This window comes from Homo sapiens, chromosome X (genome assembly GCF_000001405.40).
Source record: "Homo sapiens chromosome X, GRCh38.p14 Primary Assembly".
Classification (NCBI taxonomy): domain Eukaryota; kingdom Metazoa; phylum Chordata; class Mammalia; order Primates; family Hominidae; genus Homo; species Homo sapiens.
The window spans coordinates 141,899,897-141,914,267 of NC_000023.11; the positions used below are offsets into that span (position 1 = coordinate 141,899,897).

Genomic DNA, 14,371 nt, shown 5'->3' on the forward strand with positions numbered 1-14,371 from the left:
TACGGTCTCACCCTCTGAAGTGTGAGGACTGAGGAGTCACATGTGCACCAGAATAGATGTGAGACTAGCCCCTATTTCTCCTGGTGTAGAGTGCCTGGAGGTGGCTGCTGAACTCTCAGCGCAAGAACCTAGAAGCAACTGGCCTTCCCCTGAGATAGACCATTCCTACTGCCTGCAGAAGTTCCCTGACTCATCCATCTCTCCCCCAGGTTCCTCTATGATAATGGCCTTTCGATGTGACTATTCGCTTTGGATAGTGACATTTCCATACCTAGGCTGGGCATCTTCAACACACTCTCAACGTATTACCAAACAGGCTGCAGAGTAAAATCTGATTTGCCAGATAATATATGGGTTTTAGGGATGTAATCCTAAGGTCAGAAATAGCCTATTTGAAATCTTTCTAATATTTGATACTTGTAGTATGATTTTAATGAGATGCATTATTTGAAACAGGGCACTGAAAACAGAGATGAACAGGCTTTTGTAGATGATCAAATGCCAATCTTTCCTTCATAAACTTTGTAGATGAGGAAAGGCTATAGACGTCACTTTGTAAATGATCCACAAGAAGGTGAATTTCTAAAAAACACAAAACAATATCTTGAAGACTGCTTAGGAGGTGACAAGGATACTTTGGGGGACATGCTGGTTTTGATGAGAAATAAACAGTAGTTAAATATCCTTCCACTCTCTCTTGTCTGTGTACCTGCCCCACAAGAAAATCCTGGCTTGCAGTGAGCCACAGGCCCATGTATAGCTGTTCAGGTATGTTCCGTCATATGGAGGGTAGCAGAGGCTCACAGGGTAGATTATTTACCGTACACGAAAAATATGACAGAATTCTCAGCCTAAAGAAATTATACAGGTTATTAAAAAGGACAGTGCCAAGTGCTGTTGAGGGAATAACGTAGACCCTCCCTGCCAAGACTTACAGAATTGTTTTAAAACTGGATGTAATCCTGAATTTGAAACCACCAGTCACCTCGTAGGTGCAAGAAAAAGTTGGAAGATTTCAAGGCTACGAGGACATTCCCAGAAACAATTCCAAGCAATGAAGGCACTTACTGTCATCAATTATAATAGTTGCTTTTCATTGAGCACCGTAATAACATATGGGAGAGATTGCAAGTGCCCATCTCCATCTTGTCTAGCTCGCCTTCCTGGCGGGTTCATTTGTAGTTAGACAGAAGCCAGTGTATCATTCCCATGCTTTCATTTCCGTTCAGCACTTAACATCTGTTGTGACGTGGAGCTATAAGGTGACAGCAGCTTGGATTCCTGGCTGAGGTGAAAGCCAGGACCCGCCGTGGATTAGTTTCTTATACCATAACAGAATACCACAGACGGGGTGACTTAAACAATACAAATGAATTTTCTCCCATTTCTGGAGGCTAAATATCTAAGATCAAGATGTGGGCCAGTTTGATTTCTTCCCTGGCCTCTCCGTGGCTTGCTGATGGCCACTTTCTCACTAAATTCTTACATGGTTTTTCCTTGGTCTGTGTGTCTGTATCTTAATCTGCTCTTTTATGAGGACACCTGTCATACTGAATATGAGCCTAACCTTAAGACCTCATTTTACCTTAATTACCTCTTTAAAGTTTCTATCTTCAAATACAGTCACATTCTGGGATACTGGGTTTTAAGACGGATATATGAATTTTGGGGGAGATTCAAAATTCAGCCCATAATACCCTGCCAACTAAATTCAGAATTTATGTACAAAAAAGTAAACGTGTTGAGTCATGTAAAAATGAAGGATTTTTTTGTTGTTGTTCCAAGAGCTTACTGTTATTTTATCTGCCTCCTGGACTGCTCCTCATCCTTTTCTTAGGCTTATTTCAATACTTTCCTTACAAATAAATACTGCATATATTGTTGTTGCAAAAACTTAAAAAAAGAGGTAGAAATCACAATTCTCCCTTTTGGAAAGTTCCTCCAAAATTCAGCCCCCTATTCAGAAGTTTCCACAATTAACCGTGTGGTGTTTAAATTTAAAAGCTGATTTAGAATTTTGAGAAGATTGATGTGGTTTTTAAAGTAAAATTTATACATATATGAGCTTATGTATGTGTTTATAACTACACATGGGTAATAATATACATATAGGTCTGCCACTTCCCTTTCCACTATTATAGATTCAATTGCACCCCCACTGAAGTCTTATGTTGAAATTAACATGTGGCATTATTTGGAGACGGGATTATCTCAGAGGCAAGGAAGTTAAAATGTGGTTATTAAAGAAGAGCTGGTACTATTCCTATGCAAACATCCTTTGTTTATTAATAAACATACTTTATTCACATTTATTTCCTTGTCACGAAAGTCTATTTTCTGTCCCAAGATACCCTGAGGATACGCCATTACACTTGTTCATCATGTCTCTTTAAATGCCCTTTGGCTGTGCCAGTTCACTGAGACTTCTCTTGATTTTGAAAACATTGACAGTTTGGAGGTGTATGGTCAGGTATTTTGTAAAATAGCCTTTGATTGGGAATTAAGTGATTATTTTTTATGATTTGATGTAGGTTACGTTTTCTCGGAAGATGAACAGAGAAGTGAAGTGCCATTCTTATCATATCATACCGACGGCACATAATACCAACACAATTTGTCACTGATGATGTTACTTTGATCACCATGGTGACCTAGTGTTTGTCAGTTTTCTTCAGGGTAAAGTCACATTACTTTTTTCCCTGTGTCATACTGTCATCTTGGGAAGGATAGGAAGACCCAGGACCAGCCAGTAGTCAGATGAGGCCTCTGAGGGAAAACTGCAGAAACCTCCTGCCCACAAAGAAGAGGATCCACAGAAACCAGCTCCCCACCTGTTGTCATCCCTGGGAGGCCCAGGGGCATGTTGACCCACAGTGCTGTCCCCTGACGTCTTAGCGTGTAGAAAGAGGAGAAGGCTGTGCTTAGGTGAGTCTCACTTCAGATCATGAGAGCGGAAGATCAGGAGGGGGGCCTTCTAGGCATCCCCAGGCTGATACAGAGGATGGACTGGTGAGCTACCCCACCACGGACACAGGAGGATCCCCAAAAACCTGCCCGTTTTCACTGCTAGGAGGCCTTGGGCAGGGCCATTAGGGAGAGACGCTAGCGTGCTCCAGTCCCTCTTGGGGGGTTCATGGAAATGGGAACCTTGATCTGAAAAACAGTCCCTGGAGAGAAGAGGGAGGGAGTGGAGGCCGTATCAGGAATAATAGGTTGAGGAAGACTGAGGGTCCCTCCCATGCCATTTCAGACGGAGGGCAGTGGAGCCCTACCTGGAGTCTGGGAGGCCATACCCCACTGTGGATGGATGTGATTCTACCTCTCTTGCACCTTGCAGGTCTCAAGGATGGGAGGGGCTTATTCGGAGGTGAAAGACTCAGATGCATAGAGGCAGGGAGCCCAGACAATGTCAGGAGTCCAGGAACAGCCTCTCAGGAAGGCAGGAAGGGAACACCCATGACTGGTAGTGCTGCCTGTCCTGTCCCTGTGCCTGCTGCCAGCCATGGAGGAGCCCATCAGGGTCCCCAGATTTACAAATTTCTGACTTCCATTTTGGGAGTCAGCCAGAGGGGAGATTTTCTCTGAGGAGGGCAGCTTCAGTTAAACAGAGGGAGTAGCCCCAGGGCTGGCCACTCAACAAGAAGAGAACTCTGTCGAAGGACAGTGACCTCCGAACACGGGGGAGGCACAGGCTGCACCCTGCCACTCCCTGCTGTCAGCCCTGGAAAAAGGTGGGGTGTGAGTGTCAAGGACTGGGGAGGTGGGAGGGAAGAGGTCAGCAGGGCTTAGGGAGTGAGCAGAAAGGTTTGGAGCACATCCTGGAGGTGGGAAGGAAGGGATGGAAAGGAGGCTGACAAGCGGGCGGCGGGGGGGGGGCGCCTTCCTCCTCTGAGAGGAGGCCCCGCCCCACGCTATCCGGGCTGTCAGCCCTGATCAACCCTGACAGAGTTCCCGGATGTGCTTTGCCGGATGTGCTTTCCCGGCGGCCATCTTGGGAGTCTGAAGGACCTGAGGCATTTTGTGACGAGGATCGTCTCAGGTCAGCGGAGGGAGGAGACTTATAGACCTATCCAGTCTTCAAGGTGAGGGCCCCGAGGGAGAAGTGAGGGACAACCCCACCACAGAGAGAAGCAGCCCTGGCCTGCCCTATCCCTGCGGTGGCACTTGTAGGTGGCGGAAACGAAGATGGTAGCCGAGGGCTGAGGGACGTGTCCTCACGGCAGAAGAAGGGAGGAAATGCCGGCCCTCTAGAGAATAAATAGGAAGGCATTGAGGAGGACCGGGGGAACCCCCACCTCAGAGGACAGATTCCCAGAGATTCCCACCCTGCTCCTCAAATCAGCCCCCATAGAGCTCCCCAGGTGGCTGAGGCTGAGCGGCCACCCTCTCACTGCTGGGTGAGGGGTGTAGGGGAGGGGGAGGAGGAGGCCTTGTTCTGGGGGTCCCATGGCAAGTCAGCATGGGGAGCTGCCTCCAGTTGGCAGAGGGAAGATTCCCAGGCCCTGCTGGGAACAAGAGTGAGGACTGAGGGGTCACATGTGCGTCAGAACAGACGTGAGGCCACAGGGACCGCCCCCGTGGTAGAGTGCTGGGAGGTGGCTGCCACCTCACTACCTCCCACTGCTCTCAGTGATGTGGAGTTTTCCTGAGGTTTTTCCTCAGGCCAGCAGAGTGGTGGGGGCCTGGCCCTGTCTGAGAAAATGTGACAATGCTAATTGAATTCTGAGGGGGTCACGAACCTCAGAATTGTGGGACTCTGGGAGTCTGGCCAGCCCCAGCTGCCGTCTTAGCTGGAGGGGCTCCCTCCCTTCCTCTTGCAGGTGCTCCAGAAAGCAGGAGTTGAAGACCTGGGTGTGAGGGACACATACATCCTAAAAGCACCACAGCAGAGGAGGCCCAGGCAGTGCCAGGAGTCAAGGTGAGTGCACGACCTGACTGTGTACCAAGGGCCCTACCCCCAGAAACAGGGCAGACCTGGCAGCACCCGGCCTGTAGCCACCCACTGTCATTCCTGGTGCCTCAGGCTCTGCCTGCCAGCTGTGCCCCGAGGTGCTTTCTCGCGTCCTTCTACAGGTTCCCAGAAGACAAACCCCCTAGGAAGACAGGCGACCTGTGAGGCCCTAGAGCACCACCTTAAGAGAAGAAGAGCTGTAAGCCGGCCTTTGTCAGAGCCATCATGGGTGAGTTTCTCAGCTGAGGCCACTGGCACTGTCCCTCTCTCCCTCAGTCCTGTGGGATCCCATCATACCTATTCGTGTTCACACGTTTACCTGCTGCTCCTGAACAATATTCATCATGCCTCTCTTTCTAAACCTTCCACGCCCCAGCTTTGAGCAAGGCTTCCAGAAGGCAATTTTCATACTGGAGTTGGTAGATGCAGAGGATCCCCCAGATGAGGAAGAGGAGGAAGCTTCCTCCATTTTCTCTTCCTCTTTCCACTTTTTATTCCCCTCGTCCTCCTCCTGTTTTTCTTTCTCATCCTCATCCTCCTCTCTGCTTCTGCGTTCTCCAGGGGACAAGGATATGCCTACTGCTGGGATGCCGAGTCTTCTCCAGAGTTCCTCTGAGAGTCCTCAGAGTTGTCCTGAGGGGGAGGACTCCCAGTCTCCTCTCCAGATTCCCCAGAGTTCTCCTGAGAGCGACGACACCCTGTATCCTCTCCAGAGTCCTCAGAGTCGTTCTGAGGGGGAGGACTCCTCGGATCCTCTCCAGAGACCTCCTGAGGGGAAGGACTCCCAGTCTCCTCTCCAGATTCCCCAGAGTTCTCCTGAGGGCGACGACACCCAGTCTCCTCTCCAGAATTCTCAGAGTTCTCCTGAGGGGAAGGACTCCCTGTCTCCTCTAGAGATTTCTCAGAGCCCTCCTGAGGGTGAGGATGTCCAGTCTCCTCTGCAGAATCCTGCGAGTTCCTTCTTCTCCTCTGCTTTATTGAGTATTTTCCAGAGTTCCCCTGAGAGTACTCAAAGTCCTTTTGAGGGTTTTCCCCAGTCTGTTCTCCAGATTCCTGTGAGCGCCGCCTCCTCCTCCACTTTAGTGAGTATTTTCCAGAGTTCCCCTGAGAGTACTCAAAGTCCTTTTGAGGGTTTTCCCCAGTCTCCACTCCAGATTCCTGTGAGCCGCTCCTTCTCCTCCACTTTATTGAGTATTTTCCAGAGTTCCCCTGAGAGAACTCAGAGTACTTTTGAGGGTTTTGCCCAGTCTCCTCTCCAGATTCCTGTGAGCCCCTCCTCCTCCTCCACTTTACTGAGTCTTTTCCAGAGTTTCTCTGAGAGAACTCAGAGTACTTTTGAGGGTTTTGCCCAGTCTTCTCTCCAGATTCCTGTGAGCCCCTCCTTCTCCTCCACTTTAGTGAGTCTTTTCCAGAGTTCCCCTGAGAGAACTCAGAGTACTTTTGAGGGTTTTCCCCAGTCTCCTCTCCAGATTCCTGTGAGCTCCTCCTCCTCCTCCACTTTATTGAGTCTTTTCCAGAGTTCCCCTGAGAGAACTCACAGTACTTTTGAGGGTTTTCCCCAGTCTCTTCTCCAGATTCCTATGACCTCCTCCTTCTCCTCTACTTTATTGAGTATTTTCCAGAGTTCTCCTGAGAGTGCTCAAAGTACTTTTGAGGGTTTTCCCCAGTCTCCTCTCCAGATTCCTGGGAGCCCCTCCTTCTCCTCCACTTTACTGAGTCTTTTCCAGAGTTCCCCTGAGAGAACTCACAGTACTTTTGAGGGTTTTCCCCAGTCTCCTCTCCAGATTCCTATGACCTCCTCCTTCTCCTCTACTTTATTGAGTATTTTACAGAGTTCTCCTGAGAGTGCTCAAAGTGCTTTTGAGGGTTTTCCCCAGTCTCCTCTCCAGATTCCTGTGAGCTCCTCTTTCTCCTACACTTTATTGAGTCTTTTCCAGAGTTCCCCTGAGAGAACTCACAGTACTTTTGAGGGTTTTCCCCAGTCTCCTCTCCAGATTCCTGTGAGCTCCTCCTCCTCCTCCTCCACTTTATTGAGTCTTTTCCAGAGTTCCCCTGAGTGTACTCAAAGTACTTTTGAGGGTTTTCCCCAGTCTCCTCTCCAGATTCCTCAGAGTCCTCCTGAAGGGGAGAATACCCATTCTCCTCTCCAGATTGTTCCAAGTCTTCCTGAGTGGGAGGACTCCCTGTCTCCTCACTACTTTCCTCAGAGCCCTCCTCAGGGGGAGGACTCCCTATCTCCTCACTACTTTCCTCAGAGCCCTCCTCAGGGGGAGGACTCCCTGTCTCCTCACTACTTTCCTCAGAGCCCTCAGGGGGAGGACTCCCTGTCTCCTCACTACTTTCCTCAGAGCCCTCCTCAGGGGGAGGACTCCATGTCTCCTCTCTACTTTCCTCAGAGTCCTCTTCAGGGGGAGGAATTCCAGTCTTCTCTCCAGAGCCCTGTGAGCATCTGCTCCTCCTCCACTCCATCCAGTCTTCCCCAGAGTTTCCCTGAGAGTTCTCAGAGTCCTCCTGAGGGGCCTGTCCAGTCTCCTCTCCATAGTCCTCAGAGCCCTCCTGAGGGGATGCACTCCCAATCTCCTCTCCAGAGTCCTGAGAGTGCTCCTGAGGGGGAGGATTCCCTGTCTCCTCTCCAAATTCCTCAGAGTCCTCTTGAGGGAGAGGACTCCCTGTCTTCTCTCCATTTTCCTCAGAGTCCTCCTGAGTGGGAGGACTCCCTCTCTCCTCTCCACTTTCCTCAGTTTCCTCCTCAGGGGGAGGACTTCCAGTCTTCTCTCCAGAGTCCTGTGAGTATCTGCTCCTCCTCCACTTCTTTGAGTCTTCCCCAGAGTTTCCCTGAGAGTCCTCAGAGTCCTCCTGAGGGGCCTGCTCAGTCTCCTCTCCAGAGACCTGTCAGCTCCTTCTTCTCCTACACTTTAGCGAGTCTTCTCCAAAGTTCCCATGAGAGTCCTCAGAGTCCTCCTGAGGGGCCTGCCCAGTCTCCTCTCCAGAGTCCTGTGAGCTCCTTCCCCTCCTCCACTTCATCGAGTCTTTCCCAGAGTTCTCCTGTGAGCTCCTTCCCCTCCTCCACTTCATCGAGTCTTTCCAAGAGTTCCCCTGAGAGTCCTCTCCAGAGTCCTGTGATCTCCTTCTCCTCCTCCACTTCATTGAGCCCATTCAGTGAAGAGTCCAGCAGCCCAGTAGATGAATATACAAGTTCCTCAGACACCTTGCTAGAGAGTGATTCCTTGACAGACAGCGAGTCCTTGATAGAGAGCGAGCCCTTGTTCACTTATACACTGGATGAAAAGGTGGACGAGTTGGCGCGGTTTCTTCTCCTCAAATATCAAGTGAAGCAGCCTATCACAAAGGCAGAGATGCTGACGAATGTCATCAGCAGGTACACGGGCTACTTTCCTGTGATCTTCAGGAAAGCCCGTGAGTTCATAGAGATACTTTTTGGCATTTCCCTGAGAGAAGTGGACCCTGATGACTCCTATGTCTTTGTAAACACATTAGACCTCACCTCTGAGGGGTGTCTGAGTGATGAGCAGGGCATGTCCCAGAACCGCCTCCTGATTCTTATTCTGAGTATCATCTTCATAAAGGGCACCTATGCCTCTGAGGAGGTCATCTGGGATGTGCTGAGTGGAATAGGGGTGCGTGCTGGGAGGGAGCACTTTGCCTTTGGGGAGCCCAGGGAGCTCCTCACTAAAGTTTGGGTGCAGGAACATTACCTAGAGTACCGGGAGGTGCCCAACTCTTCTCCTCCTCGTTACGAATTCCTGTGGGGTCCAAGAGCTCATTCAGAAGTCATTAAGAGGAAAGTAGTAGAGTTTTTGGCCATGCTAAAGAATACCGTCCCTATTACCTTTCCATCCTCTTACAAGGATGCTTTGAAAGATGTGGAAGAGAGAGCCCAGGCCATAATTGACACCACAGATGATTCGACTGCCACAGAAAGTGCAAGCTCCAGTGTCATGTCCCCCAGCTTCTCTTCTGAGTGAAGTCTAGGGCAGATTCTTCCCTCTGAGTTTGAAGGGGGCAGTCGAGTTTCTACGTGGTGGAGGGCCTGGTTGAGGCTGGAGAGAACACAGTGCTATTTGCATTTCTGTTCCATATGGGTAGTTATGGGGTTTACCTGTTTTACTTTTGGGTATTTTTCAAATGCTTTTCCTATTAATAACAGGTTTAAATAGCTTCAGAATCCTAGTTTATGCACATGAGTCGCACATGTATTGCTGTTTTTCTGGTTTAAGAGTAACAGTTTGATATTTTGTAAAAACAAAAACACACCCAAACACACCACATTGGGAAAACCTTCTGCCTCATTTTGTGATGTGTCACAGGTTAATGTGGTGTTACTGTAGGAATTTTCTTGAAACTGTGAAGGAACTCTGCAGTTAAATAGTGGAATAAAGTAAAGGATTGTTAATGTTTGCATTTCCTCAGGTCCTTTAGTCTGTTGTTCTTGAAAACTAAAGATACATACCTGGTTTGCTTGGCTTACGTAAGAAAGTAGAAGAAAGTAAACTGTAATAAATAAAAGTGTCAGTGACTCATTTATTTGATGAACATTGTATCAGCATTTGCTCATAGAAATTACTGTTAGTAGTGAAGTTACCATTAAAAGCAAGACTCATCCCTAACCCTAAAACGGTAGAGTGTAGGTCCAGAAGCCATATCAGGAATGTGGTAAGATTTTCTCTACAATCTAAAGAATAAGTTTAAAAAGGAGTGGGGAGGTGAGACTCCAGATGGAGCCTTTGATTAAAAAGGCCCTGAGCTAAGGCAGTTTTGGGCTTTGGGCAACTGTAGGTGCTTCTGTGGGAGCTGATCGTTATGAAGCTGGGTGGTGGCAGGGCCCAGACTCTCAGAAGGTGAGAGAAAAGCCTGGAAAGGAAAACCACTTGAGCAGTTCCCTCTGGGTGGAGGATGAATCAGAGAGGAGTCTCCACACGGAGAATTAATGGAAGGTGTTCTGTGGCTCTGTAACTGGTGAGCTTGAACACAGTGCAAGGACTAGGTGATTGATACCCATCATCTGCAAGTTTTCCTGAGAATTTTGGTTATAATTCCTTGATGTGGTGCTCAGAAGCCTCTAGGCTGGCACTCATTTGCCAGGCCTGGGAGAGCCCAAGCCCATTCCATTGACAGGACTTTTAGTTGGGTTCTTTTGAATGTAATGTGGACAAGTCTAAGCAAGGTCTAGATTTCTCGTGGAGCTTAAATAAAACTAGTGGTTTGGATGGATGATCAGTGGGGAAGGTGAAAAGGAATTGGTCCTTAACTTAAAATCTACAATCTTTGAGTTGCATTCAGTTGTGGAAGCCTCTTCTTTCTTGAATGATACAATATATCCTTTTAGAAAGAAAATGCCCTGAGGTATATTTATGAAGCCAAACTTTTGGTTCAGTTCATATTCCTTGACATATTCAGCTAGATGTTCTATGAGACGTTTTGGATAATGAAAACAAGAGCTGAATTTTTCTCAAAAGACAGTAGTAGACTTTGGGGTTATAATCATATTGATGACAACTGCCATTTATTAAAATTCCAAGGTATGCCAAGCTGTGTGCCAGGTGTTTTGCTCACACTACATACATTCCAGCCATTCTACAGAACAGGGATTATCAAACCCATTTTACAGACGAAGAAGCTGAGGTTTATAGTTCATGACAAATTCCCGAAGATCACGTGATGATCACATGATTAGAAAGTGACTGGGCTGGGACTTGAGTTCTGAATTCATCTAGACCCACACTGTCCCCACTCCTCTCAGCCTGAGCATAGCCTTCTTCCTGTTAAGTCACTTCTCTTCACACTTCCTAATGTCTTTCAGGTAACATAAAGGAGAAACCTGTGACAAAGTATTTAGATAGGCCTAGAGAAGAAAGGTGACAATGAGAATCAATACCTTTCAAGGATCGTTTTGGGCTTTCTTTACATAAATTCTTCCTGTTATGAGCCCTAGGTTTCTTGAGAGCTGACTCTGTCTGGGTGGCAGTACTTTTGTCCAGCCCCAGGGCTTTCCCACCTTACAACACCCTCCATTTGATCTCCCCTGGGCGCTCTCCTGTGTAACTCTGGACCCTGGCCTGTTGAGTAACTTCTCACTGTGGTCTCGCACTCTGAAGCCTGTGCCCAGCCCTCAGTGCAAGAGCCCAGAGACATCTGCCCTTCCCCTGACATAGACCACTGTTTGTCACTGGAGAAGTTCCCTGACCGATCCATCCCTCCCGCTGGCTCCTCTGTGATAACGGCCCTCGATGTGAATATCCACTTTGGATAGTGACATTTCCATACCTACGCTGGGCATCTTCAACACACTCTCCACATATTTCCAAATAGGCCGCAGAGTAAAATCTGATTGTCACATAACATATGGGGTTTAGGGATGTAATCCTAAGGACAGATATAGCCTATTTGAAATCTTCCTAATACTTGATACTTGTAGTATGATTTTAATGAGATGCATTATCTGAAACAGGGCACTGAACACAAACAGAGATGAATAAGTTTGTGTAGATGATCAAATGCCAATCTTTCCTTCATAAACTTTGTAGGTGAGGAAAGGCTATAGACATCGCTTTCTAAATGATCTACAGGAAGGTGAATTTCTAAAAAAACAAAACGGTATCAAAATCTTGAAGACTGCCTAGGAGGTGACAAGGGTACTTTGGGGGACATGCCATCTCTGATGAGAAATAAACAATAATTAAACATCCTTCCACTGTCTCTCATCTGTGTACCTGCCCCACAGGAAAATCGTGGCTTACAGTGAGCCACAGGCACGTGTATAGCTGTTCAGGAATGTTCCGTCATATGGAGGGTAGCAGAGGCTCACAGGGTAGGTTATTTTTCACACACCAAAAATATGAGAGAATTCTCAGTCTAAAGAAATTATATAGGTTATTAAAAGGACAGTGCCAAGTGATATTGAGGGATTAAGGTTGACCCTCCCTGCAAAGACTTACAGAATTGTCTTAAAACTGGATGTAATCCTGAATTTGAAACCACCAGTCACCTCGTAGGTGCAAGAAAAAGTTGGAAGATTTCAAGGCTATGCGGACATTCCCAGAAACAATTCCAAGACATGAAGAGAATTACTGTCCTCAAGCATAATAGTTGCTTTTCTTTGAGCACCATAATGACATATGGGAGAGACTACAAGTGCCCATCTCCATCTTGTCTAGCTCGCCTTCCTGGCGGGTTCATTTGTAGTTAGACAGAAGCCAGTGCATCATTCCCATGCTTTCGTTTCTGTTCAGCGCTAAACATCTGTTGTGACATGGAGGGGCAAGGTGAAAGCAGCTTGGATTGTTGGCTGAGGGGAAAGTGAGGGCCTGCTGTGGATTAGTTTATTATGCCATAACAATACCACAGACTGGGTGACTTAAACAATAGAATTGTATTTTCTCCCATTTCTGGAGGCTAAATATCTAAGATCAAGATGTGGGCCAGTTTGATTTCTTCCCTGGCCTCCCCGTGGCTTGCTGATGACCACTTTCTCACTGAATTCTGACATGGATGTTCTTTGGTCTGTGTGTCGGTATCTTAATCTGCTCTTTTATGAGAACACCAGTCATCTTGAATATGATCCTAATCATAAGATCTCATTTTACCTTAGCTGCCTCTTCAAAGGTTCTGTCTCCAAATACAGTGATATTCTGCAGTACTGGGGGTTGAGGCTTGGATATATGAACTCGGAAAGGGGCGCAATTCAGCCCATAACACCCTGCCAACTTAAATCAGAATTTATGTGCACAAAAATCAACTCGTGTGAAGCCATTTAACTTTCAGGGAGTTTTTTCTTTTCCATCAGGTTACTGTTAATGTGACTACTGGAGTGCTCCTCTTCCTTTTCTTAGGGTCATTTCAGTATTTGACTTAAAAGTAAATAGTGCATGTATTTTTGTTGCAAAAAAATTCTAAAAAGACATAGAAATTGCATTGCTTTCTTTACAAAGTTCCTCCAAAACTCAGCCTCCTACTCAGAAATTTCCACAAGTAACAATGTGGCCGTGTAAATTTTAAAATATGATTTTCGATTTCAGGCTTTCATAAAGATAGATGTGCTATTTTATATATACACATATATGTACATATATACACACATGTGTAATGATATAATGATATACATATAGATCTGCCACTTACCTCTGCCACTATAATAGATTCAATTGCCTCTTCCACAAACGTCTACACTGAAATAAAAATGTGGCATTGATTTCGAGATAGGATTATTTCAAAGGCAATCAAGTTAAAATGAGGTTATTAATGCTGGCCTTATTGGAAGCCAGTATAAACAGGGGATATTTGGACATAGAGATATGAGTATGGAGATGACAGTGTGAGTAGACATGGAGGGAAGACAGCTAGGTACAAGGCAATGAGAGAGGCCTGGAAAGCATCCCCCAGTCACAGCCTCATAAGGAATCAATCTTGTGTACACCTTGCTCTTGGGCTACCAGATTCCAAAACTGTGAGACAATGAAATTCTGTTGTTTTGTCATCCAGGTTGTGGTACTTTGCTATTGCAACCCTAACATGCCATGATACTCACTTATTAAAATGTATCCAGCATCTTTCCATGTCAGCACATAGAGATCTGCCTTACTTTGGGGACTTTTCCCGAGAATGCCAATTTATTTCTGTGCATTAACAAACTGAACCAACCTCCTCCTGATGAACACATATTTGCTTTTTCTTTGTGGCTAAAATTAGTATAAATATAATCAATATATTTGACCATAAATTCTGGGACAAGTGCATAAAATTCCTTATAAGGAATACATTTCAATGTAGAAGTTGTGTAGAAGTGAACAGGGTATGAATAATTTTATACTTTTTCAAATGTTGCTGACTCTTTCCACCAAAGGTCTCACCAATTAGTTTCCCTACACATTTGTTGATGTGGAAATGATTCATTTGTTGACAAACATATTTTATCAGAATTTTAAACCTTATTGAAACTTATGGGTGAAAATCCTAGGGGAGTTTGGTTTTGGTAATGACATTTTCAGATGCATCACCAAAATTTTGGTCAAACTTATAGGTGCAAACCCTAGTTGACCTTAAGTTTGGTGGTGACTTTTTCAGATGCAACACCAAAAGTGCCAACATCTAAGAAAAGAGATATAAATTGGACTTCATTAAAATTAACAACTTCTACTCTAAAAGACTGCTAAGAGAAAAGACAAGCCAGAGACTGGGATAAATGTTTTGTGAAACACATATCTGATAAAAGTTATATATTTAAATATGCACAAAACGCTAAAACCCAATCATAAGAAAACAGAAAGCCTAATTGAAAATGGCCAAAAATTCTAAACAGGTACCCCACCAAAGATATATATGAATAGAAAGTAATCGGACACAACTGTCCAATTTCTGATATGGTTTGGCTCTGTGTCCCCACCGAAATCTGAACTCAAATTT

The 14,371-nt window shown here is 46.1% G+C and overlaps 1 protein-coding gene across 2 annotated transcripts, besides 1 other annotated feature; it reads left to right on the top strand.

The window, feature by feature from the left end:
- On the top strand, positions 3,998–9,478 carry MAGEC1 (MAGE family member C1). Of its 2 annotated transcripts, none has more exons than NM_005462.5 (4): positions 3,998–4,082; positions 4,821–4,918; positions 5,074–5,180; positions 5,513–9,478. In NM_005462.5, the coding sequence occupies exons 3-4, from the start codon at positions 5,177–5,179 to the stop codon at positions 8,935–8,937; spliced, it is 3,429 nt and encodes a 1,142-aa protein (NP_005453.2). In that variant the 5' UTR covers positions 3,998–4,082; positions 4,821–4,918; positions 5,074–5,176; the 3' UTR covers positions 8,938–9,478. The 2 variants fall into 2 exon arrangements, with proteins under 2 accessions (NP_005453.2, XP_011529720.1); XM_011531418.3 differs by having other exon boundaries at positions 3,998–4,039.
- Positions 4,114–5,313: an enhancer, noted in NCBI's record as "MED14-independent group 3 enhancer chrX:140991796-140992995 (GRCh37/hg19 assembly coordinates)". NCBI's record gives its function as "activates an origin of replication core promoter dependent on BRD2, BRD4, P300/CBP and CDK7 cofactors, and independent of MED14, by STARR-seq in HCT116 cells {active_cell/tissue: HCT116}" and the evidence as "EXISTENCE:reporter gene assay evidence [ECO:0000049][PMID:35650434]".